The sequence below is a fragment of the Homo sapiens genome, chromosome 9 (genome assembly GCF_000001405.40).
Source record: "Homo sapiens chromosome 9, GRCh38.p14 Primary Assembly".
NCBI classification, from domain to species: Eukaryota; Metazoa; Chordata; class Mammalia; order Primates; family Hominidae; genus Homo; species Homo sapiens.
Window position 1 is genome coordinate 74,647,917 of NC_000009.12, and position 27,950 is coordinate 74,675,866.

The following is a 27,950-nucleotide window of genomic DNA, read 5'->3' on the forward strand; positions in this document are numbered from 1 at the left end:
GCATATGCTTTTAAGGATAAATATTTTATACTGTTTAAATCTATTATGCACATCTAACTACCCATGCAGAAATGGTGCAGAGAATAGAACTTAACTCTTGCTATATATTTCCTGTGTCCTGTGATAGAACCTGTATCAAATACAGGTAGGCATTCCATTTAGAGGTAACTGTCCGATACATCATTAAAACAGATAGAAGTAGACCAAACTTGCAAGAAAAATTACTTGAACAATATGGGAAAAGGAAAATTCAGTGTTTAGCTCTTTCTTCCTTGCCTTGAGAGGAGACATCTTGTGAACTTTCATTGTCATCTAACCCCTCTCTCACCCCCACCCCAACCACACACCCTTTGCAGGCAATTTAGGGAAAGTACATTGAGATTGGGGGTCCTAACTCTGCATACTAGCCATGTGAATGTATTCAAAATTAGTCCAGCTGTCTGAGATTCTGTCTCACCATCTGAAAAATAAGACAATTGGATCAAATGACTTTTAAAGACTATGGTTCTCTCATCTTCCAGGGAGCTTTGGTCATGTGCATTAATATTCCCCCCTTGTTATAGCCACGTCACACAGATAAGAGTAGGGTAGAAGAGAGGAGGGGACTTGGAAGCAACTAAGCAATTCTGAATGATGCTGAATAACTTGTCCATGGCAGTAGCCAGCACACTTCCCTCCTGGAGAGCAGGACGATACTCGGGGCTTTCACTAAGTGAAATGACCCAGCCAAACATGCAGTTAACAACCACTGTCAAATCAGAACCGTGCACTAGCCTCTTCTCTCCGTCCATCCTCCTGAAAACAAAACAAAACAATAAAAACAAGAAATCAGATTAAAATGAATGTCAAGGACAACCAGGAGCAGCTCAAGGAAAGGGTAGTAGCCAATCCCAAATCACTCCAAGTTCATGTACAATCCAATTAAAGAGTGAGCTGCTGTACAGATGCCGCTTTAGGGCAAACGCACCTGTCCTCCCTAGTTCACTACAACCTGATCACTTCCAAGCTCCTCTTGAAGAAAAAGCAAATATGTTCATAAAATGAAGATAGGTTCTTTTTTTTTTTTTTCGACGGAGTCTGCCTGTCACCCAGGCTGGAGTGCAGTGGTGCGATCTTGGCTCACTGCAACCTCCACCTACCAGGTTCAAGTGATTCTCCTGCCTCAGCATCTCAAGTAGCTGGGATTACAGGCCTGGCTAACTTTTGTGTTTTTAGTAGAGACAGGGTTTCACCATGTTGACTAGGCTGGTCTTGAACTCCTGACCTCAGGTAACACACCCGCCTCAGCCTCCCAAAAGTGCTGATATTACAGGCATGAGCCACCATGCCCGGCAGAAGATATTCTTGACTACTGAGGGACCAAGCTACCTAAGTCACCTGGGTCATTGGAGAGGGTCTTACTTGACTCTTCTGAAATTTTAGCACCACCTTGTTCTGTGCCAACCACAGAATATCTCCCAAAGCCTGCTTATTTCCAAAATCTTGCTTTCTATCTCAAAAAGGAATTCTCCCAGTTTGGGGCCAATTTGTCATATTCCTAGGACCTCTACCATGGTTACATCTATAGTATTAACCAGTCTATGACTATGAATTATCGTAGAGGATACCTGGAGCCACGGACTGTACAGTTAATCCCTAGGGTTATTTGAATCCATATCTTTCTAGGTATCCTCTAATAACCCCGCAAAGATGGTCTACAATCACCTAGTAACATGTATAGTGCTTCCCCACAACTGCAATAAATGGTAGAATGTATACAAAGCACTTTGTAACCAGCCAGTTTCCAAACAAATATATGATTTACATCACAAACAACACACACATATATGCTCAATTCAAGTACTCATAGACATACATATCTACTTACAGTACATGTGTGCATATCAGTCACTACAGGCTTGTGCCTCTGTCAATACAGTTTTCCCAATGTGCTAGCAATTCATTAGACTACATTCATCTAAAGCACCGTTTTTATTTTGAGTTGAAACTATGCAAAATTTATCTTCCTCAGTGTATTTCTCCTGGAGATACTAGTTAGGTATTACATTTTGCCTTAGAATTCAGAACCTCATAAGAAGATTCTAAAATCTACCACCACCACCAACAACAACAAAATCTTATTGAGAAGCTACTGGAAAGCCAACTCCATTTCAAAAGCCATAGTAATTATAAAATATTCTACAGTAAGCAAAAGGAAAGGAGATTTCAGGAGGTTCTGCCTGTGACTTGGAGGAGCAGGGAATGTTTCTACTTATGAAGTGACCTCAGAATCAGTCCCTAATGACAGTTTCCACATTAAATAGTATTTCAAGACATTATACTGCAGAGAAGCCATACGTTTAAGGCATTGCAAGCTTTGACATTGGCTTTTAGAGCTCTGAATTACTTTTCCACTGGCTGGGGTGAATGTATTAGCCACATTTTCAAGCACCCATTTTTGGAAGAGCTGGTAAGAGTTAAAATACCACATGGGCTATGGAACCCAGAAGCGCCAATTGATCACAAGGTTGATGGGGATTAGCATACTTTGGTGTGATTAGCGTGGTATGCAACCAATTTAACAGGTGCTCTCTGCTAACCAATACAGGATTTATTTCTGTGATGTTTGCAAATGTGGGGAAACCTGTTAGAAATTGTCCCAACTGGAAAACAATTTTTGTTTTATTTTATTTATTTTTTAAGGTAAGCTTTCTCTTGAAAACATAATCTTAATACTGAGGAGAATGAATTTGCTATTTAAATTTGAGGCATGTTTATGAGGCCTACTGGGGAACTGCTATTTGGTTTTCAGCAAGATTTGTTCTGGAACAATTTGACACAATAAGGAACCATCAAAAACCACTATTTTAAAGCTTTAGTCAATTAAATGCATTATTTAAATTACCATGTACTTTTTAAAATTTAGGGTGTTAGAAAATATAAAAATGACCTTCAAAGATTACTTCTAAATTAGTTCTTCCTAAAGGTCAGAAATGCATTGACTAAACATCCAAAAGGGTGGTGAGGTGGGGGAGAGATTGCATCTGTTTAAATTAACAATCAATCCATATGTCAACAAAATTCAAATGGTGAAAATCAATCCTAGTGATGGCCCTGAGCAATTTTCATAATGAGATTTCATCATCTGTGACCCATTGGTTGTCCTTTGGTGGCGTGTGGAGGTGCAGTTTTTAAGAAGACTAAAGGAAGATTTTCCATGGCCTCTGGATTTTGCTGTTTTGGTTTGTCCTATCTAAGACTCTTCAAGTGTTTGTAAGCCTGTAAACTATACTCTCACCTTCTGTAACTCTGCAAGGCTTCTCCCCCATGCGTCACAACAAAGAAAATTCTCATGTCAGCCAGGCGCAGTGGCTCACACCTGTAATCCCAGCACTTTGGGAGCCCAAGGCAGGTGGATCACATGAGGTCAGGAGTTCGAGGCCAGCCTGGCCAACATGGAGAAACCCTGTCTCCACTAAAAATACAAAAATTATCCAGGTGTGGTGACACGTGCCTGTAATCCCAGCTTCTTGGGAGGCTGAGGCACGAGAATTGCTTGAACCTGGGAGGCAGAGGTTGCAGTGAGCCAAGATTGCACCACTGCACTTCAGCCTGGGTGACAGAGTGGGACTCTGTCTCAAAAAAAAAAAAAAGGAAAGAAAATTCTCATGTAGCCTCTCCAGACTCAAGTTGTCAAGCTTCACACAGACCTTAGAAAACATCGCTGATGCCAAATCCTCTTGCAGATGGAGGATCAAACCCCAAAAAACTGAGTTAAATAGGTTAAGCGACTTCCCCAAAAGCACAAACTAAAAGACTGAAAGGGACCATGTTGGCTTCCTTGGTCTTACTATATAACCCCCTTAAAACTCATCAACTGCAGGACATTTAAGTAAATTAATCTTTCTGACTGTTCTGTGAAGGAGATCTTTTACTGTAAAACTTCACTTTTAAATGTAATCTTTTAACAATAGATTCTTTCTCGTCAACTGATTTCAAGAAAGGAAACTGTAATTTCCAAAAAATTAGACACACACTGTTGCAATACAGCAAAATGCTTCTGATCCAAAACAGCTTTCTGTTGTTAAATAAAGAAAGCACCCTCTTAGATAGTTAACTTGTTTTTCCTGCTTGTAATTTTTTCCCTGCTTTGGATATACTCTGTTTAAACACAAATGCTATGTAGGTTCTTTCAGCTTTACTCCCTGCTTTCTTACCTTTTATTAGAAAATGCTATCTTACTTGAAGCCAGGCGCGGTGGCTCACTTTGGGAGGCCGAGGCGGGCAGATCATCTGAGGCCAGGAGTTTGAGACCAGACTGGCCAACATGGTGAAACTTCATCTCTACTAAAAGATACAAAAATTAGCCAAGTGTGGTGGCTCGTGCCTGTAGTCCCAGCTAGTTGCACGACTGAGGAAGGAGAATCCCTTAAGCCAGGGAAGCAGAGGTTGCAGTGAGCCAAGATGGCACCACTGCACTCCAGCTGGGCGACAGATCAAGACTCCAACTCAAAAGAAAAAAAATGCTATCTTATTTGAGCTTCCTAAAATTTGAGAAAATGTTAATCACTTTATTAATCTATTCATTCAATCTTTGCCCAGCTATTACTATTACTTGCATTAATCTGATTTTTTAATTTTTTTTCCATTTCATAGTTTATTGAATTGTGTTTTATTATATTTTTATTATTTTTAAAAGTTAGCATAGTATCTTACATTTTGTCAACATATTTTTTCTGAAGAACTCTAGGAGCAAATTGGTCTTAGAATATTCAGGTCTGCATGAAGTAAAAATCAGTTATGCCATTCGCTGATATGTCAGTTGGCAATAGAATTTGCATGTAAAGGAGATTGAAAGCTATCCTGATTAATTGAGGGGGAAGTAATGAGTGGTTGGACCATGAACTGAGCCAACAAATAAGTTATAAATTATTGATGCCCCCAATTTCTGCTTAAAAAAACTTGAGGAAACGAAATGCTAAATCTCCTACTCTTCCTCCGAATCTACAGATCACTAATAGATTACTGTTTTAAGCTTAAATATATCAATGGTTTTATTCTGACAGCAGAATTCTATTTATGCTAAAAATAATGATCTCTAAATAGGGATTAGAAAAATCAGAAAGGTCTTTAAATGACATTGTCTTTTCTGACATTGCCATCAGTGACAAACCACTAGACTTGTTCTGTCTAATGACAGAAAACAAAACTGGCTGTCTGTTTTGAAAAAGGAAAATTGTGTGTGCATTTGGTTAAATGTTTCACCTTTCAACCAAGTGTTTTAATATGTTTTAGTTACTGCCTAAGAGCACAGATTCTAAGAAATCTTGATATTATGAAAACCTAATGTAGGCACTTAAAACATGCCTTGGGCAAGTCCATAGAGATATCCTGCCACTAATTCACAGTGAATCTCCTAAGAATTCCATTTTCGCACTAGTAGTATAAACTAAACAGAGAATTCAGTGGTACTCTAGATCCTTAAGGCAAGTGACAAATTAAAAATTCATTAATCACTTTGAGGCTGAGATACGGTATTTTTAGGAAGAATACTTCCAACTTTAAAAAAAAAAAAAGTCCCTTGTGGAGAAAAATGAATAGAGGGTATAGTTCACCAAGAAGAAACCATTCTTTCTCAGGAGGAAAAAAAGAGGGAGGAGGTGGGAGCTGAGAATTACGAAGTTCAGGAGCAACACCCTCTAGCGCTATATATAGCTCTGAGGCTCAGCTTTCTTGCCTTGGTGCATGCAGTTGGGCCTCCGGTGCTCTTGGTAATAACACCGAAAGCAGCAGTTTTTAAAGATATACTCAACTTTCCCCACTCCCAGGATGTGGCATTCTAATGAAACTACCCGTGCAATCCGTGTCTGAGACATTGTAGCCTTTGGAGAGCGCCATTTGCTGAAATGTCTATCTAGTGAGAGGTAAAATAAGCCGCTTTGGTGGAAAAAAAACCCGCTGAGTGGTTGAAATCAGAGCTGCAGAAGGTCACTTGCTATTTTAGTAACTGCAAGCTGGTCCTCATTTTATAACATCACAGTTATAAACAAGACATCGTCACCTTGCTTGTCAGTTTACTTCTTTTTCACCAAAATAAGCAGATGTAGCCCTTTTTCTTTCTACATAGAATTAGGTAATTTGGATGACTTGTTTCCAAACTTTGCTTAACTGTGTGGATCAATATGTAAGAGAAGTTATTTTTCATATATTTCTTTAAACATTGCTTCAAAATATTATTCTTACACCTTTTTACATCGTCTGATATAATTGACCTTTTAAAACTCTATTTACTTGTATAAACCTTATCACGCACATCTCAATCATGCTGTAAATCCTTACATTGGACTTTCTTTCTTACTTCTTTGATTTATTAATAGATCACAATGAAGAGTATTGAGGATGGGGTAGGATATGTAGAAGTCCTTTACAGTCTCAGGGGAGAGAGAGAGAGAGAGAGAGAGAGAGAGAGAGAGAGAGTAAGGAGACTCAGCTAATTTCTAGGATTATTTAGATACAGTCCATTTGGAAATGGAGGAAGGAGGTTAGGTCCAGCCCCAGGGTTCTATAATTATTGCACACACTATTGAGAATTACCATCAATTTTATTCTAGTTTTCCCTTCAAAAATTTAATTTCTCTCTTCTTATTGCACACATCAAAAGTAAAGATTACCCTTAAGACTTCTAGGGAGGTTTGACAATTTTAACAATATTTTAAAATATTTTTTCATCAAAGTGATGCAGAAGTATATTTACCAATATCAATTATTTTAAAACTTTCTGAGACTTCTTTTTATTTGATTCACACATTGTCATTTCTATCCCATAAAGTTGCTCAATATATAAAGTTATAAATTCTGTTAATTGAATATAAATCTTGGATTCCAATAAGCCTTCCACAAAGAATAGTATCAGGGTCAAAGTTGAAAACAAAACAGCAACTTTTGGGGGGAAAAAGTTTTATGTGTTTATACATGTGAGAATATAGAAGGGAAAGGAAGAGAAAGAGAGAAAGTGATAGCAAGTGATTGTTCATGAAATTAACAAATAGAAAATGAGGAATGTGGATTTAATATTAACCTGCAATACACACCCAATTTTTCCTTGCCTGCATCAATGTTCACTTTTTGCCTTATCATGATTAAAAGGAATGACTGGACAGACTGAGCATATAAAATTGTTTTTCTCTTTCCTCTATATCATTATATTAACTATCAAAGCAGCCCACATACTCTTAGTAAATTGAACAAACCTCTGTCTCACTGAACACATGTAGGGAATCTTAACTACTGAGAAGATGTAGCTGCATTTTCATTACAAGTTTTCTTTCACACCCACTTAAGAAATCTCCAGCCTCATCCGTGGTCTCAGGAAGAGCAGAGTGTAGAGTTTGTGTGCATCACCTTTGGAGGTGGTAGAATTTCCCATCAGTTAGTTATCTGGGCAATATTCCTGTTGGACTTACTATTCCAGCACAGAGCATACTGACTTCTTCTTCGACATGTACCATCTGCAGCCCAAGCTAGTCAAAGAAGCCAACAAAAACTGAGCTGAAAACAGCTGCAATCCAAGTTAGGGTAACGGATGAAGGATGTGAGATTGCCCAGAAAGATTCCATATCCTCTGCTCTTTTACCTCAGTCCCTTTTGTCTGGACTTTCTCATGTGGTTGGTCCCTAGAGAGGACTACATTTACTATTACCTTTTCTACTTTTCCAAGCAAGGACTCTTGAAAGTTCCTTTGGCTCCCAACAGAAACTTTGCATACTGTATTCATTGTCTCTCCTTTGGCCTTTCTTTTTAAATCCCTCTCCTCTTTTCACAACTGCAGACTCTCAGTCTAAGCAAACCATCTCCTTGGACATTCAAGCATCTTTCTAATTGACAGAATGAGCCCTCCAGTCTTGCTCCCATGAGACCAAGTCTAGCTGTACCGCGTCTTGTAACAAGCTGAGCTTTGAGAGGGTCAAGTCGGTTTTTGCACATGGCTCACCTCTGCACTGCAGAATAGTGAGAGAAAGTGGTGGAGGAATGTGTCTGCAATTGCTGCTACTGTGCTTTTGCCTTCATTGCCATTCGTAATAAGTCTTATTTATAAAAGAGATTTGACTTGTATTTCCCACCACAAGGATATGGAAAATAATTTTGCATGCTTACCATTTGACTTCAAAGCCATTCTGAGTGCTTAGGCTTTAAGATCATCAAACAAAGGATCAATCTTAACTCTTATAAATCCTTTGAGAAATAAAGCAGACAACTGAAGGAAGGAAGAATGGATAGACAGATGGACATCTTCAACATTATCTTCACTAACTCAGCGTTGGTTGAGCACCTACTATATTTAATATTTTGTCTCGGTGCCACATCTGCTGGTCCCATGTATTCTCCTTCAAAATTGTCTTGACTGTAGCTCCTCCACTCCATCTCTGTCATTATGACCTAGTTCAGACCTTCCTCATAGCTGGTGTGAATTTTCACAACAGCCTGATTAATTTCATGTACTCACTAATGCCATCTCATCTTTGCCATGACTAAAGTCACCTTTCTAAAACAAAAACCAAGGCCGGGCATGGTGGCTCACGCCTGTAATCCCAACACTTTGGGAAGCCAAGGTGGGCAGATCGCCTGAGGTCAAGAGTTCGAGAACAGCCTGGCCAACATGAAGAAACCCCGTCTCTACTGAAAATACAAAAATTAGCCAGGTGTGGTGGTACCCACTTGTAGTCCCAGCTAGTTGGGAGGCTGAGGCAGGAGAATCACTTCAATCCGAGAAGTGGAGGTTGCAGTGAGCTGCAATCATGCCACTGCACTCCAGCCTGGGCAACAGAATGAGACTCTGTCTCAAAAATAAATAAATAAGACAAAAAACAGACCATACTTTACAGCTCCTACTTTACAACTTCGGTTGGTTACCAGTTATCTCTGAATTGGTAAAATTCAGAGATAAAATCCAAAAATCCTACAAGATGAAATTCCTTGACCTGTTTACTCAGACATCCCTACTTCAGTCACAAAATCTGTCCACCCTAGTCTTATTTCTCCTCATCTCCTCCATGCACCCTGTGTTGCAAATATACAAGACTTCAAGCCAGGAAAGATGGACTCGGTTTCAAAACATTGCTTACTAGCTCCATAGAAACTGGTCTAGACTCACTTGGTCTTTTCTTTTTTTGAGACGGAGTCACGCTCTGTCACCAGGCTGCAGTGCAGTGGCCCGATCTCAGCTCACTGCAACTTCCGACTCCCTGCTTCAAGGGATTCTCCTGTCTCAGCCTCTTGAGTAGCTGGAATTACAGGCACCCGCCACCATGCCCAGCTAATTTATTTATTTATTTATTTATTTATTGTATTTTTAGTAGAGATGGGGTTTCACCATGTTGGCCGGGATGGTCTCGATCTCCTGACCTCGTGATCTGCTTGCCTTGGCCTCCCAAAGGGCTGGGATTACAGGCGTGAGCCACTGCACCCAGCCATCACTTGCTCTTTCGAAACCTCACTTCTATCCTCAGTAAAGGGGAGACTGGTCCTAAAGAAGTAAAGGTTGTAAAGATATAAGATGTAATGTCAGAAATTACCTAGCCTACAGCTAGCTTTCTATCTGTGCCTTCATAACATCATTCCCTCTACCTGGGATACATCTTTCTCTTCTCCATGTGACAAACTGTGCTCATCCTTCAAGACCCAGGCAACTCCTCTATGGTTATTTTCCTGCCCCTACCCCCAGACTAAGTTAGCCACTTTCTTCTTTGGGCTCCCACAATAACTGTGGGCATTTATTGCATCATGACATGAAATTATATTATTGTAAGATACTTTAAAACACAGGCAAGGGTAGGGGATGGTGGCTCACGCCTGTAATCCCAGCACTTTGGGAGACTGAAGCAGGTGGATCACTTAAGGTCAGGAGTTTGGGACCAGCCTGGCCAAGGTGAGGAAACCCTGTCTCTACTAAAAATACAAAAATTATCCAGGTGTGGTGGTGGGCACCTGTAATCACAGCTACTCGGGAGGCTGAGGCATGAGAATCACTTGAACCTGGGAGGTGGAGGTTGCAGTGAGCCAAGATCGTGCCACTGCCATCCAGCCGGGGCAACACAGTGAGACTCGGTCTCAAAAAAAAAAAAAAAAAAAAAAAAGAAAAGAAAAGAAAAGCCAAAATCTTTGTTTTTTTAATCTGTACCTTGACCTGATATAGGGTACCTTCTCAAAAATATTTGGTGAATGAATATATGAAGGCATTATGCTGGGCTCTGCTGTCCAGTTCTTAAGGACCTCATAATCTTAAAGGGTGTGGGACAAACAGAGGGATTCAAATAACCACAGTATGAGTCTCACTGGAACAAGGGCTCAATTGAGGCAGAATCAAAGTGTGATGGCAGCCAGCCCTTCTTCCTGAGGACATGGTTGGCAGGGAAACTTTCACCAGGCATGACCATCCGGGTTGAGTCCTGAAGCATGCATGTGGATTTAATTTCCTATTTCCTTAACCTTCCCACGTATTTATTGTACCTACCCTTCCTCATAAACCATAGACTCCTAAATTTTGATATCAGAAGGCCAGAGAATCCTTAAGCTTTGGCCAACAGTTCCAGGCAGATATCATAAAAGAACAGATAAAGTTTTTCACAATACAATTGTGAGTGGCAATGATAGTCTTGTTTATAAACCCTGAAGCCTGTAAATTACCAACAAATCAGCATGTCTTTGAAAATGAAAACAAACTACACCAAGAAGATAATAGTTTGAAAACTATAAAGCTATAAAATCTTTTGTTAACATTATATACCTACTGGAAAGCAAATATGTTTTTTTAGATTCTAAGTAATTAGACTGCCCCGGTGAAATTGAAAAATGATGAGCCATGACATACCAATCTATTTTAATATGATGGATAGAGTAATTTTTACCCTTTTTATACCATAGGAGAATGTTCAATTAAACTTTGAATATAGGATTTTTTAAAGAAAGGATTTTGTAATATCATAAGCAGTGCAAGTCTAGAAATGCTCAGTGCTGAATCCAATAGAGTAGAGCTATCATCAGAAGTTAGCATTTGGTAGCATCTTCTACATGTATTATTTTATTTTGATTGAAAAACTCTTGAAATATCTTCTTTCTGCAGGATGGATTGCAGAATTAAGTATCTCCACTGAATTGTATCTCCATTGGAGTCATCATATTGCTCCCCTGATGACAAACTATGTAGACTGTCCTAATAAGGATAACCGGGGCTACCATTTATTCAGTGTTTCCAACGTGCCAGGCAATGGTCTGTAGGAGATTTTTGTTTAGAAAATTTATTAGAAGCTTAAGTTTACAATTTTTTGTTCTCTACATCACTAAAATTTAATTTACTTTGTACCCTATATACCAGAAGCTTAGTGAGATAGAAAGGAGACAGCCAAATGCTGCTTTGAGGGCTGTCCTGGAGAAATGGGGTTGGCCATTTAGAAAGAACAGAACTTACATTTGAAATGGCGCAACCTGAAATACAAGAAAATTTTATTTTCAACTAGTGTTCAACTAGCAGGTGGGATTACAAGGGACCACCTCCTAGCTCTAGCCACCTTCAGGGGACTCACAGCAGGCTTGTTTTGTTTTGTTTTGTTTTGCTTCGTTTTGTTTTGTTTTTGAGATGGAGTCTCGCTCTGTCGCCCAGACTGGAGTGCATTGGTGTGACCTCCACCTCCCAGGTTCAAGCGATTCTCCTGCCTCAGCCTCCTGAGTAGCTGGGATTACAGGCGTGTGCCACCACACCTGGCTAATTTTTTGTGGTTTTTTTTTAGTAGAGATGGGGTTTCACCATGCTAGCCAGGATGGTCTTGATCTCCCACAGCAGGCTTTTTTTAAGGAGAGCTCTTATGTCTGGTTCTATTGCTCAACTTTCATGTCTCCAAACCCAAAATGATTGGTATTTAAGATACAATGTGAAATACAACTCGATTGGGATAAACTGCCCAAAATTGTGTTTGCTACTAATTTTTGTGAATATAATCATTTAATCATTTTTAAACTTTTTAAAAGAAAAAGGTTATTATATAAAAAATTAAAAAGGAGAATATAATGGTCCCTATGACCCAATTCCAATCATTATCAACTCATAGCCAATATTGTATTGTGTACACCACCTCTCCTATTATGTAAGATATTTACATTGCCCCAAAGTCAAATCTACAAAAATAGTATTATCAGAAAATTTAATTTGTTTCCTTGTCTCTGCATTCTGTTCCCTATTTCCTCTATACATAGCCTTTCTTTTAGTTTATTGTTTAATGCTTCCTTTAAAAAAATAAGCAAATAAATTTATATTTTAATGCCCCCTTTCTGAGATAAACAATAGGGTTCTAGTGATTTTCAAAACATTTTAAAGTATTTGGAGTACAAGTGTTAAGACTGTTAGTTGACTTTCAAGCCAAAAAGCAAGAAATATAATAATTTTATATCTTTTTTATAAATAAATACCTTTGAATGGTTTCCAACTTGTAAAACCCCTAAGTTGTGATCAAAAGACCTGGGGGAAAGCAATAAATTTTGATTAAAATACTGAAAATTGAAAAAATGCAATAAAGAGTTTGTCTGAAGATTTTAAGATAGATAGCAATGTTAAAGACACTTTAATACAATAGGAGTATCTCCAAAAGGCATTCTTATAGTAAACACATTAAAAGCTAATGAGCAGAGTAATTTTATTCACAAACCTTTGAATTGATATCTTTTCTCACAGACCGAATTGCACAGAACATCATTAAGTCCCATTTGGAGACATGTCAATACACCATGGAAGAGCTGCACCAGCTGGCGTGGCAGACCCACACCTATGAAGAAATTAAAGCATATCAAAGCAAGGTACTCTGGGAAACCATGAGAAAGTTTTTCTGTGATTACCCTATTGCTGTGTTGCTCAAGCTCAGCACTATTGGCATGTTGCACTGGGCAATTCTTTTCTGTAAGGGCATCCTGCAAATTGTTCGATACTTACCAGCATCCCTGGCCCTACCCACTAGATGTGCCATCGCCCTCACACACACTTGTGACAACCAGAAATGTCTCCAGATACTGCCAACTGTTTCCAAGGAGGCAAAACTACCCTGATTGAAAAACCACGGCCCTATTTGAGTGACTACAGAGACCGTGCCTTCATCAAATGATTTTAGGACATCTCTTGCTGACTTCTTGGGTGGAGGCAAGGAGCAGGAGCAATGTAATAATCACAGCAGTTGTAATCGTCACAAACTTACACAGCAAATATATGGAACAAGGCTTTCTAAAGTTTTTTCTTGCCCTGCATGTTAAAAAGAATCCAAAAAACAGGACAACTCATCCCATATTTTCATTATTACACTGTGTCATTTCTTTGGGTTTGTTGAAGAAGTTTTTAAGAGGAATTTATTGTTGTTTTTCAGTATTTACATTACATTACTTTGGGATAGAGATCCCCAATTACAAAATCCACCAGTAGATGGAACTTTAATAAAATATATAAATGTGTGTATATCTAAATAAATGTTTACAATATGCTGATTTTTCTCCACCAGAACAACTAAATCTCAGTACTTTTATATAAATAGGGAAACAAAGGCATTGTGTCGCTATGGTCAATAAAAATTAGAATTAACACACATAGATTTCTGTTTCTCATTTCAAAAAATAAACTGAGGACTAAAAAATATTTGGGTGATTCTACTGAACTTAGGTGAATGATTTGATTTGATGTAATGCCTTTTTCCTCGGAATTCTTTTTTCCTTTTTTTTTTTTTTTTTTTTTTTTTTGAGACGGAGTCTCACTCTGTCACCCATGCTGGAGTGCAGTGGCGCGATCTCGGCTCACTGCAAGCTCCACCTCCCAGGTTCACGCCATTCTCCTGCCTCAGCCTCCCGAGTAGCTGGGACTACAGGCGCCCCCCCACCACGCCCAGCTAATTTTTTGTATTTTTAGTAGAGACAGGGTTTCACCATGTTAGCCAGGATGGTGTCGATCTCCTGACCCTGTGATCCGCCTGCCTCAGCCTCCCAAAGTGCTGGGATTTCAGGCGTGAGCCACCGCGCCCGGCCTCGGAATTCTTTTTAAACCAGAAAACACTCTCCATAGGTCTGGGAAAAAGACACAACATAAAAATACTACAAATTTAGTGCCCATCAGATACCCATGAAAATGATGTCATGGAAGCCTGTGAATGAAATCACTATCCCTCAATGCAAAGCTTTGTTTTTTATATTAATAGTATGTGAAGATAGATTTGTTATTTTCTTTACAAACTCAGATTTCGTTTAGGTGAGAAGGAGGAAAAGGAGGAAAAAGAGTAAAGAAAATAACAAAGCTATCCTTACTTACTATAAACAATGTTGCTATTATTTTAGCCTCAGTACTTTGATCATTTTGGCCTATTGAGGTCCAAACAGGTCAAAATATTAACTTAGGGAAAAAAAATAAAAGTAGTGCCCTCCTTTTTTAAAGGAATCATATAAATTCCCTCCTTTGGCCCCAAGTGACAGATAAGCACCAGTAAGGCAAACCTGAGTGTTCTGTTGACTCTCCGTAAGTCGTTTGCCCTATTTACATTCTGTGTCTTCTCTCCTCAAGTCCAGGGAAGCACTGTGGCAACAATGTGCCATCCAGATCACTCACGCCATCCAATACGTGGTGGAGTTTGCAAAGCGGATAACAGGCTTCATGGAGCTCTGTCAAAATGATCAAATTCTACTTCTGAAGTCAGGTAAGCAAGAAGATTCATGGGAGGCCTATTTCAGATAAGGATGTGGTCAGCCCTTAGCACTGTGTTGGTTCTAGAAAATCCTCCTTCCGATATGCAGCTCGTTTCTACCACCCACATTGTCAGCCAACTCCCAAAGGAAACTCTCAGTAATAAAAATGCCCTGATACTCATTCAGTTCCCCTTTGAAGTCAAATACAATTTTGCTTATTGAAAGTGGAGCTATTAATTGCGGAGGTTGAAATACCCAGCTTGACAGGCAGTGCAAGTAATTAGCGTGTCAAGGTGGCTGAATTGCTGAGCCGGCGCTAAAACGTACTCCTTGCCTTCTGTGAAAGGAAAAAAAAAAAATGCAGGCTAGCTGAGTTCTGCCTCTGTGGTCATTTCCAATCATTTTAATGAGGATAGCCTGCAGCCAGTATACACCAGGAGAAACTCCACGGTACTCTAATCTTTCCCTACCCTTCCCTAACACACTGTCTGACACACACAATTGCTACAATCGCTGCGGAAGTAGCTCAAGAAACTCTGCATATGACTGACTTTGCGGATGTTATTACCAAACAGGAAAAAGAAATTATTTGTCTTTCTTGGGCCCCTTTGAAAATAGAAAATAAGAACCATGATGGTGTTTATGCGAATTTTCATGGTCCTAGGCCATAATAATAATAATAACATACTCATAAGTAAAATAACATACATATGTGTTTATGTTTCCCTATGACATCTCAAGTAATCTTGTGAGATCCATATTATTATTTCCATCTTACAGAGGAGGAGGAAAAGATTCAGAGAAGTGAAGAGCTACATTCAATATTACAAAACCAGTACACGGCAAAGTTGGCATTTGAACTTGGGCCAAATATAACTGTTATTCTAAGATCCCTTCTTTACCAAATGACTCAAGTTGATGAAAACCTTGACTGAAGTGTCAACTTGATGTACCAGTCATCTAAACCACTGCAAAATTTAACTAAAACAACAAGAATTATTTCTTTCGCTCTCAAAGCTACAATTTGGGCAGGGCTCAGTGGGAGTGACCTTATCTCTGCTCCATGTGGTATTCACTGAGTCAGTTCAGCTGAGGGCAAAGGAATCCACTTTCAAATTGGCTCATTCACACAGCTGATGAGTTGTGCTAGTTGACAGCCTGGAACTGGGCTAGGGGCCTCAGTTCCTCTCCATGTGAGACCCTCCAAAGACTGCTTGGACTTGCTCAAGGCTCCAAAAGCTAGCACCCCAAGAGAACACTAGGGTGTTCTCTAGGTTCCAAAAGCTAGCACCCCAAGAGAACAAGGCAGAAATGCATAGATTTTTCTAACTTAGCTTCAGAAAACACATATTGTTATTTCCATTATATACCATCAGTCATGAAGCCCCACCCAGATTCAAAGATAGGAGACATGGATTCTACTACTTAATAGGGGAGTGGTAAGGTCCTAGAAAACATATGGGATGGAAGATATTTTTTCTGACCCTCTTTGAAAAGTGAAATCTGCCACACTTGATATGTGACCTTGAGCTAAACTCTCTAGATAGCAGTTTCCTCATTTGTAAAATAAAGAGATGGACTAGAAACAATGAATTCCAAATTTAGAATTGCATCAACAACATCAAAGGAGATTATTGACAGTTCAGAGACATGGGCACCATGAGTCCCATGGAATCCAAATCTCCTGGAGGGGAACCCAGTTCATTGTATCTCTAACTAAGACTCAGATATAACCAATCCATGGGCTGACATTTGGGAACAACTGAACCATATAATCTTTAACATCTCTACCTGGTGTAAAAATGTTGACTCTAGTCAAAAAGGTAGGGTACTTAATATTTTCAAGCCTCATGTAACTCCTCCATAAAATAGGGCTAATAAACTCACCTGAAATAGTTATTGTAAGGAGCAAAGATAAAAAATGAATGTAAGAGGCCAAAGAAAGTTCCTTCCATTGTGTAGATACTCAATAAATGGTACCCATCTACTGTTTGTGTCAGAAAAGCATTCCTTCAATTAATATTTGCAAATCCTCCCCATGTATAAGCCTCTATGCTAGGTGACGTATCAAAGACAAGCAGAGAGAAATCAGCAAACATATGTACAGCAAAGGAAATAAAACAGAGACATAAAGATAAAGTGATGGCATAAGACAGGTACCAAAGTTGTAGGCTAATCACCAGTATGATGCTCTCATGCAAATCTGTGGCTGCTGAGTCTGGCTGTTAACTTCAACTGCACTATGGGGCAAAAGCCCATTTCTCCAAAACATGGGAAGCTATGCAGCAGTATTTCCTCAGGATGTTAATAATGCTCAAAGGGAAAAACAGTGGTAGTAAACAAATTCATTCAATAAATATTTGCTTAGCACCTACTATGTGCCAGAAACTTTTCTTGGTCCTGGAGATGCAAGAGTGAATACAGTAATCATGGCTGCCTATCACTGCAGACAAAATTTCTGCCCTCATTTCCTCAATTGTGAATTCAGGAATCAAAACTAGCTTTAATATTAGTGGAAAAATAGAGAAAAATGTATTTTCAAAAAGTAATGTCCAGCTTAGCCACCTGTAAAATATATTTTCTCCTTAATTCCTCATATAAGTATCAAGAAAACTTTATTTCTAATATATTAAATTGGTGCAAATATATTAGGTTTTTGCCAATACTTTCAATGGCAAAAACTGCAATTATTTTTGCACCAACCTAATAGTTATTTTAGGGGAAGGAACTTAAGGGATTTCTGTATGTGTGTGCCTGTGTGTGTGTGTATGTGTCTCTCTGTGTGTTTTAAAGTTCTTGAAAGTCTCTTACCTATATGCAGTAATAATTTCTTTATTATTGGATATATATGTGTATTTTTATTTTATTTTTATTTTTATTTTTTACTCATAGGTTGCTTGGAAGTGGTTTTAGTGAGAATGTGCCGTGCCTTCAACCCATTAAACAACACTGTTCTGTTTGAAGGAAAATATGGAGGAATGCAAATGTTCAAAGCCTTAGGTAAGTTTCCCTTTGATGAGGACACAATTTTATTAGCCACCATCAGTTTCTCCACTTAGATTGAAATTGGTAAATGAAATGCCTTGATTCTTTGATGTGAACCAGTATCTCATTATTCGATAAGCGATGGACCAGGTGAGCTTCTAATTCAGGCAAGCCTCTCCTGATCTTGTAACTGTGGCCTCCAATACAAAAGAAAGAGAGAACTGAGGACCCTCCTGAGAACAACCCTATTGAGACATCGTTCATTCAGAAATAAATGGAGGCCCAGCGTGGTGGCTCATGCGTATAATCCTAGAACTTTGGGAGGCCAAGGGGCGCAGATCACTTGAGCCCCAGAGTTCAAGACCAGCATGGGCAACATGGCCAAACCCCATCTCTACAAAAAGTACAAAAATTAGCTGGGCATCACCAGGTGTGGTGGCTCATGCCTGTAATCCCAGCACTTTGGGAGGCTGAGGCAGGTGGATCTCTTGAGGTCAGGAGTTCTAGACCAGCCTGGCCAACATGGTGAAAGCCAGTCTCTTGCAAAAATACAAAAATTAGCCACGCATGGTGGCTGACGCCTGTAATCCCAGCTACTCAGGAGGCTGAGGCAAGAGAATCGCTTGAATGTGGGAGGTGGAGGTTGCAGTGAGCTGAGATAGTTCCACTGCACTCCAGCTTGGGCAACAGAGCAAGACTCCATCTCAAATAAATAAAATAAATAAATAAAATTAGCTGGGCATGGTGACACACACCTGTAGTCCCAGCTACTTGGGAGGCTGAGGCAGGAAGATTGCTTGACCCTGGGAGATTGAGGCTACAGTGAGTCATCTTCACACCACTGCACTACAGCCTGGGTGACAAAGCGAGACCCTGTTAAAAAAAAAAAAGGAAAGAAATAAGAAATAACCGGAGGCTGATGCTAAAAGAGTAAAAGAGCTGGGCTGAATTATAGATCATTCTTTGTGAAATCAGCTTTTTTTTTTCAACTTTATTGCATATTGCATAGACCCCTGGTCATCCATGGTGGTGACCTCTTGCGTTTCTTATGTCAATTTATCATCATGAGTTAAGATACTTAATTAAATGAGGAGCTCCTCTACTTGTTTCTCACCCACAGAAGTTAATTCACAAAGTTCTGGGAGCACAGAGTTCATGCCAACCTGTCCACAGTGATCCCAGACCATTCCTGTGGGAAGGCACTAACAGAGTCAGTCTTTGTTTGGAAGTGTTATATATCATCACATCCAGTCATCAGTGCATGGCATGGTAGGAAGAACATTAGCAAAGATGGGCTGATGCCAGGAAAGGTTTTAACGATTGATAGTGCCATTTGTTCCATATCCTGCCCATGGACACCAAAGAAGGCCACTGCCCTTTCACCTCTTGTGCTGTTAGTTGATATGGCAGCCAACAACAAGTCCATCGGGGCTGGCAATGTTTCCCTTCTACAGTTGATACACATCCATGTCATCTCCAAGGCTAGATTTTCAAGAAAGGAGGAAAAGCCTTGGCAAGCAACCTCAGTATATTTCCAGCTTCATCAAATAAACATTCACCAGGGATCAGTGTAGAGATGCAACATTATTTTGCCAAAATACGCAACAGCTAAGCAACTGACCTGTGAGTCATTCATTAGAAGGTAATAATAAATAAACTCTAGCTCCTCAGTGAAATTTCCAAGGAAATTGCGAAACTGAAGTGCATCTCATCTCTGTTCCATTAGATATTTCTAACGTCTCAGTTTAAAAGTCCAGAATACCCTACATTGCTAGCTTCAAGTGTTACGAAGACTGACAATCCTCAGCCCCTGTATGTAATGTTTTAGGTTTTCTATGAATACTATCTCTATTGTAAAGGATCCCCAAATCACTTATTTTATATTCTTTAATGTGAAATCATTTCAAATTTATAAGGATGTAATCATATTATGGATTGCCAGACAGATGTGACACCACTCACACACCAAGTCTACTTGCTTGCCATTGGTAGGTAATGTTAACTTGGATTGCCTGGCCAAGATGTTGCCCAATTTTCTCATTCTTTGATTAGTATCAAATCACTTTTTATAATTAGAAACTTAAAAAAATATCTTTTCTAGAAGTCTAGTATGCACCTCCTTGGATAGCTTATTGATTATGAGATTTTTCTTACTCTTGCCCCATTTCAAGTTCAAGTATTTTTATTCCATTTTTCTTCTTCCTTTATAGGTTCTGATGACCTAGTGAATGAAGCATTTGACTTTGCAAAGAATTTGTGTTCCTTGCAGCTGACCGAGGAGGAGATCGCTTTGTTCTCATCTGCTGTTCTGATATCTCCAGGTAGGGCAGTCTCAGTTCTCTTACCTTTTTAAAAAACTTGTTTTACTATTTTTAACACTGATGACACCTGCCTAAGCCAAAGTGTTCAGGAGAAACTTTAACAGAGCTATATTTTCTTTACCAAGTTTTTGATATTTTTGGACAGTGAAAAGGGAAGTAGCCTCAAGTTTATTAAAATGACCAATTTTGGCCCGAAAGCAAGAGTAGAGCATAGGTTAGGGGTTATTCCAGATTCAGATACGCAGAATCATTCCTTAGCAAATAAAGGAAGACAAATAGTGGCCTGAGTTACAGCCAAGTTCTATTTTGACTTTAAGAATAAAGTACATAGAAAATAAATGTCCAGTTGGATGAGACACAGTAGAAATGTACCTAAATGAAAGCTCCAGAATGGGGACCTACATAAGTAAAAGGAACACTTTCTACTCTTTAAACACCTCTTGTGTTGGCATCTTTGCCCAAATTCATGTTGAGGTGCTCACTTCAGACAAATGCTGGTGCCTATTTTCTTAGCAATACATTTGACCTTGAACAATGCAGGGGTCAGAGCATTAACTCCCTGCATGCAGTCAAAAATCTGCATGTAACTTCTGACTCCGAAAAATTTCACTACCAATAGCTTACTGTTGACCGGAAGCCTCGCTGATCACATAAACAGTCGATTGACACATACTTTGCATGTTAAATGTATTGTATACTGTATTCTTACAATAAAGTAAGCTAGAGAAAAGAAAATGGTACTAAGAAAATTATAAGCAAGAGGAAACAGATTTCCTGTTCATTAAGTGGAAGTGGATCATCATAAAGGTCTTCATCATGGTCGTCTTCATGCTGAGTAGGCTGAGGAGAAGGAGGAAGAGGAGGGTTTGGTCTCGCAGTCCCAGGGTGGCAGAAACAGAAGGAAAATCTTCATATAACTTGACCTACACAGTTCAAACCTATGTTGTAGAAGGGTCACCTGTATCAGGAGTTTTTAAAAGGAGGTGAGGACAGCAGAGGGGAAAATGACTCATACTGAAGACTGCCCAGTAGAAGAGGAAAAACTTCAGACATGGAGGTGGACATTCTGGTGCCAGCTCTGTGACCAAGTATCTGTGTGATATTAAACATTTGACCCCTCAGAGCCCTAGTTTCCTCATCTATAAAATAAGAGGGATGGACTCCATAATAACTAAGACCTCTACTAGCTCTAAAATGCACTGAAATGCCAAGTTCTTAAAGAATTCAAGGTGTGGCAATATTTATGGATCAACTAGAACTGTAGTGAGTAAAATATTTTTTTAAAGTATATACTAGGCCTGGCATGGTGGCTCACGCCTGTAATCCCAACACTTCGGGAGGCCGAGGCCAGCGGATCACCTGAGGTCAGGAGTTTGAGAGCAGCCTGGCTAACATGGTGAAACCCCATCTCTACCAAAAATACAAAAACTAGCTGGATATGGTGGCAGATGCCTGTAATTCCAGCTCCTTGGGAAGCTGAGGCAGGAGAATCACTTGAACCCAGGAGGCAGAGGTTGCAGTGAGCCGAGATTGTGCCATTTCACTCCAGCCTGGGCAACAAGACCGAAACTCTGTCTCAAAAAAAAAAAAAAAAAGTATATGCCAACTTAAAATATAATAATAAATAATATAATCATAATAATATAACAACAATAATATAGTAATAAATACATGAGTCTCTAACCAGAATGAGAATTCAGTTACTTCCTCAGCTGTTGTTTGGTTACATTTTGGGTTAAGGGATAACAGCATCACTGACAGGTCTCTACAGAAAGAAAAGCAAATTCCTGCCTAATTTTTAAGGTCAAGAGTCTCATTTCTTCTGTTACCCGTTTATCTGTAGAGACCAGATGTCTTTTCTTATATATGCTCTACTATATTTTTCAATGAAACTGGAAGAAATTAATCTTACCTGTGATGTAAGGTAACACATTATAATTTTAGCATGTCATCATAACTGTATTTTCCAATAACACCAATGTCTACAGTTTTTATGTTAGGCTTTATTATTCCTAATATGATTCTTGATGATCTTATCAGGATATTTTTAATTTGCTACTGTTTTTTATTTAACCACTTTATCAAAAATGGAAATTAGTTATCACATAGAGTGTTTTTACTAACAGTTTCTTTTATGGCTCTGTCTAAAATCAAGCTGTTCCTCTAGGCCTTTTTTTTTTTAAACCCTAGAAAGTTTCCCAGGCTTGGAAGCACAAAGATAGATGGAAGAAGTGACAAGAATACTTTTCTCTGTTAGCAGCCACATGCCAAATAATTTTCCTTCTACCATTTTCTCATTGCATTTGATTATTTCCATTGAGAATAGTTCAATAGAAAACTAAACCTAAGCTGGTGAATCTATGGATGAGGGAGATGGTTTTCCTCTAGTTCTTGCTTGCTCCAAGGAAGCGTTAGAAAGAGTCACTTTTCTCTTTGGGTATATTTGTGGCAAGTCAGTAAATTTTAAGCAGCAAATATTTAAGACATGAAATATTAAATGTATTAAATATGAATGATCTATGAAAATGATCACCTCAGAAGAAAAGCTAGCCTCTTCCTTCTGAACTAGAAATCAGCTGAGCTGTTTGGCCTTTTTCTAGAAAAAAAACATACTATCATCATTAAATTCTGAGAAGTTTGGAAGCATGCAATTTGTTTTACTCTACCTAGTGGGGACTCTTCCAGTGCTGCTAGCAGACTCACACTGACAGGCTTCACAAACTCCAAATACCTCATTTGCCACCCTGGCTTAGTGCCATATTCAAAAAGATTTCCAGCCTATGTAGGCTCCATCTCCTGCCAGACAGCCCCCTATTCTTTCTCCAGGGTCCTGACATAAGAGCCACTGTGTATTAGGCTTCAAACAGCTTAGGGAAGGGAGAGGGAGGGGAACTTAATGTATTCTGATTGACAATTGTCACTGAAAGCTTTTGTACTCACTTACGTAAGGTTTTGCTTAACTGTTGGCTAGACTTGTCTTCATCCTGTCTAGGATTACAGAATTGAGTTTCTCACCTGACCTGAACTGTGTTCAGGAAGATCATGTTCGAGTTCTTTTCCATGAGTATTTGTTCGGCATTTGAAGATTTGGGGTGTCTCTTCCATAAAGGTCCAACCTAAGGCATTGATGCTGGGCTGAATTTTGTCACCGTGGTGTATAAATCTTCTAGGAAGGAAGGAAGGAGAGAGTGAAGGAGAGGGGATGGAGGGAAGGAAATAAGTGTGGGAGGGAGGGAGGAAGGGAGAAAAAGAGAGAGGAAGAAAGGAGGGAAGGAAGAAAAGAAGGGAGAGAGGGTCTGAGGGAGGGAGAAACAGATGAAGAGAGGGAAGAAGGAGAGGAGGGATTATCCTATTCACCATTTAAGAATTCAATATAGGAAAATAGAACTTAGAAGTGAATTTTTGAAACTGATTTATGTTTATGCTATATAAATTCTAACATAGCTTCAGCTTTATATCTGATGAAAGAATAAGCTGAGAAAAGGAAAAGGGATCCTGAACACCAAAAATATTCCTGTGATTTTCTTCACTTCTATAATTCTTCTTCACAAATCGCTAACTTCTACTTTGAAAGAAAACCTAAGCATATGTCCAAAGCAAAGAGTGAGAGATGTAAATTGTCACAGACAATAAGAAACAAAGCAGTAGATTATCTGAACCATTGTGTCCTTTCCTCCAAAGTGATTTCCTGCATCATAATATTGCGCATTCCTGGCATCATGGTATTGCCTATGAAATACTTATGTTTTATGTAAATAATGACATGTCTTCAGAAGCAACTTAGAACTAAATAATATGAAATGGGTCTGAAGCTTGGCACTTATGTATGTGGGTGAAGCAAAACAAAGTTGATGTTCCCTCCACTTACCCACTCTTTCTTTCATCAGACCGAGCCTGGCTTATAGAACCAAGGAAAGTCCAGAAGCTTCAGGAAAAAATTTATTTTGCACTTCAACATGTGATTCAGAAGAATCACCTGGATGATGAGACCTTGGCAAAGGTAGGTCCACAGATCACAGAGCCACCACCACCAAAAGAGAGCACAGTGAGCAAAAAGGACTGCTTATAAATCAAGGGAAATTTCTCAGCAGCAACAATTTCTGAAAGTTACCAAAGACTGCATAAATTGTGAGGTATGCAATTTAAAAGAGAGGCTAGTGAATTGTAATAGATTGCAAGAAGGGCTTTCTTATAGAGGGATGATATTGACAGATCTGAATCCAAGCTTCAGGAGGACAAATCAATGAAACCAAGGGTGTTTCATCAGAAGAACAAGCACTCAAAGCAAGGAAACAGGTCTTCAAAATTCATATGTGAAGAAAGAGAGGGCTTTGTGCCAGTTCAGGAGCCAGGTCTGGGACAAAGTTAAAAGTAGGCAGATTTTTATTCAAAAAAAGAAAGAACAATCAAATGATGAGAATTGTTGTATGGGGGGTGGACTACTGTGTAAAGCAGTGAGCTCTGTGTCATAGGACATGTTCTAGTAGATACTACCTAGTCACTTCTCAGGTATGTTATAAATGACATTCCTACTCAGAGTGCAAGATTAGACTGATGACTTGTAAATTTCCCTTCAACGCTGATCTCTTCGTGCAAGACTTGCCCTGAGGTTCTTTCAAAATGGGGAAGTTTCCCTGGAGCAAAATCCATGCAACATGTCATCAATTTCTTGATTCAGCTTAATTAAGAATGATCTTTAATAAGAGTACTGAAAAAAAGTGTTTACCAAAGTAAAATAATCACAAAAGGAAAAAGTAATTCTCAATGATTGATATTCAGCATTATTTTATATCTTAAAGTATCTTTGATTTCTCAAGAACTGAAATTTTTGGGCAGCCAGAATTATCGTAGATTTTAAAGTATCTTTGATTTCTTAAGAACCAGAATATTTTAGAGGGTAAGAAATTAAGAAATTGAGCTTATTCTTGGTTAAAGATCATAGGAATCCTACTCTTTATATTTTTATCATTAAAACCTTCCCACTCTGCCCTTGAAGTTCTTTGTTTTAAAAAGGGGGATGGTAAAGACTCTATTTGGAGACACCATCAGATTTTACTTTGCACATACAGAGTACTGCTATAAAAAACCTCCATGAGTTAAATATGCTGCTTCATTATGGTAACATTTTGTTAAAATTAACGCATCACTAGCAAGAACATTTCCACATTATAGAGCAATAGTTCTCTTTCACGTAACTTTTCATTTATTAGGTGGTCAAGGACAAATCACCTACTCTCTGCACCTGTATTCTCCTAGTCAATAGCGAACTTCAACATGCTTTCAGATTCACTGGGCAGAAAAGACAATAATGTAAATATATGCATGTGTCTCTATAGTTGCTTGGTAGCGTATATGCATAAATACATCTTGTTAATTAATGTGGAGGGATGTTGTCTGCATTTGGGATCTCCTGAAGACTTTTGTCCCCATATTTACCATCCTAAAATTAGTCTTGAAAAAACACAAAGTTGGATGAAAATTCTCGCTATTCTGCTTGCTTGGGAGGATTGTCCGCTTGTATGAAAACCATGGTCTCATCATCTATAAAATGAAGATTACAATTTCTTCTCCTGTGCAGATGTGTTGTGAGGTTCAAATGAGATTCTAACACGTTGTGAAATGGTGATTATTACTCCCCTAGGAGGGTAAAATGTTTATGCTTGCACCACTTTCTACCTCCCACTGTCCTGGTTATGATTTGAGGTATGTGAGGTAGGAAGAAGGCAGAAATTGAAGAACGAAAGATATTTGAAGGCAAGAAAGAAAATTATGTCAACTGTAGATCAGATTAACTTCCCTTTCTCCATCTTTACTTGGAAAAGTACATAATTCAGTTCTTTTCTTATAGACAAGTAATGTTGCAAAACTGAGAAAGCATTAGAAGAGGATTACTTCTTGGATAAAATTGGCTAGAACCAGGTGACAAAGCATTGCTTCTATAGGCCACAGGCAGATGTTGGGTTTTTGTGTGGCCCCTTTCTTGTAATAGTTATCATTTTAATAAGATGTTATCTGAACTAATGCAAACTGACCATGAAATTGAATGAGAACTGAATTTTCATTTATCGCAGCTCTGATCTCTGTGGCTTCAGATTAAGTCGCTCCATTTGTCTAAGTCTCACATTTGTCCATTATCAAATGCTGGAGGGTTAGGAATATGGACTGAGCCCCGTTAGCTCCTGACTGCTTTAACACTCCGGACAAATGTGCCATCACTGTCTAGGATGCCCTCTCATCAAATTCCCCAAAAGGAATATTTTATTTAAATGTGAGAGAAACTGTTTCATCCCATCACAGATTCTTCTTATCTTTGCAGAAAGGCTCCTTATGCCATTGTAGTCATGGAGCTCTTCTGCCTTCCACAATACCTCTAAAACAGTGAGGGCCATTCTGAATATTTGTTATTCATAGACCCCTTGGGGACTCCAGTGAATGTTGTGAAACCTGTCTCTAAAAAAATGCACATGTACCCGAAATGTTGTGTTGAATTCCAGGGGCTCCGGTGAAATCGCCAGTAGGTAGAGGATACCTCTGCTTTCTGTGTCGTGTGCAAAAGATTATTTCTACCGCTGACCTGTTCAACTCTGAATAGGTGTTAACAGACATCAGGTTAGAGGTACAGGGCTCATACACAGTCACTGAACTTCATCTTGCAAGGGCAATCTCCAACACACTTTCTACATGCCTACTTCCTGAAATTAAAGTTCAGGTAGCAGTGCCTTCTACTTTGGGCCAAACTTTAACCTTAGAAGGTTTGAAAATTTGGGGATTATGTATCCTAACATTAACTAGAAGATTTCAATTCCCATGTGTTAACCTGTGTTGTGGTTTGGGGAGAGGAGAGAGTTGGTTAGGGGAAAAAAAAACCCTATTAAAACATCTAGTTTCTTCTCCTTATCAGCATAATTATGATACATAGCGTATTTATAATAAACCATCAAAGCCACTTGCTAGATGAGTGTCCCTGGACATGTGACTTTAACTCTCTGTGCCTCCATTTCCTCATTTGTACCATATGACTAAAGATATACCAATATATGGCTAACTAAATGAGATAAAATATAAGTAAGCTGCCCAGTCCATAATAGGTAATATGTAAGTGCTGTTGCTGTGTTGTAGCTGTTGTTGTTGACAGAAAAAAAAATTATTTCGGCAGAGACATTTTTATCTAAGAGATGGCGTATTTGAGCTAGTCACTGATAGATGAAAACCATTTCAAAAGATGGAAGTTGGGAGGTTGAAGAAGTGCAGGATGGCATTCCAAGTGATGGGGGCAATGGCATGGAGGTAGGAAAGCATAAGGTATATTCAGGCTATAAATAATAGTTAGATTTGGCTGGATCCTGGATTTGAGAAGCCAGGAAATGAGATAACACTGGTCACTTTCACTAAAGCTCATGAAAAAAAAAATACATACATATATATATATATAAAATAAATATACATATATATTTTTAAGCCCCATATGACTAGAGGAGGCAGCCCATCTGTTCTCTGGGCTTCACTTTTCTTGTCTGGGAAATGAGTAGGTTGGACTGCATGGTCTTTAAGGTCTCTTTAGTATTATCTTGTTTGACTCCGTAAAGAGAAAAACAAAGGTTCCTCCTGACATCTTGTGTTGCCTTCCAACGTCCAGTCCAGTGTGATTGTTTTAAGTACTCTTTGGATATTTTACTGTTATAAAAAGTGAAGAAAAAGACTGATTTTGCCAAGTCTTATGGATCCAAATTAGTACTCATTGCACTATGGTCATTTAGTTGAGGACGATACTCCAGCTTCAAAGCTGCAAAGCATACAGTGTGTGCAAAGCCCGGGTTCAGAGGTCAGCGTGCCCGTCAGTCTTCCAGGAGGAGCTCCATGACTTGTGCTTTGGATGCTGCCATGACTCACTTTAGGAGGTTTACTTCCTCAGTGAAGACAGCTGTGGGGATTAGGAACCTGTGATGCTCTTTCCCCACTCAGTTG

The 27,950-nt window shown here is 39.0% G+C and overlaps 1 protein-coding gene across 2 annotated transcripts in view; it reads left to right on the forward strand.

Moving 5' to 3' along the window:
• RORB (RAR related orphan receptor B) overlaps positions 1-27,950 on the forward strand; it is a 195,843-nt gene that overhangs the window by 150,582 nt on the left and 17,311 nt on the right. For both annotated transcript variants that reach the window (NM_006914.4, NM_001365023.1), the window contains exons 5-9: positions 12,701-12,822; positions 14,558-14,690; positions 17,572-17,679; positions 19,875-19,985; positions 23,873-23,985. In NM_006914.4, coding sequence (NP_008845.2) covers positions 12,701-12,822; positions 14,558-14,690; positions 17,572-17,679; positions 19,875-19,985; positions 23,873-23,985 — 587 coding nt within the window. The remainder of the gene's footprint in view (positions 1-12,700; positions 12,823-14,557; positions 14,691-17,571; positions 17,680-19,874; positions 19,986-23,872; positions 23,986-27,950) is intronic.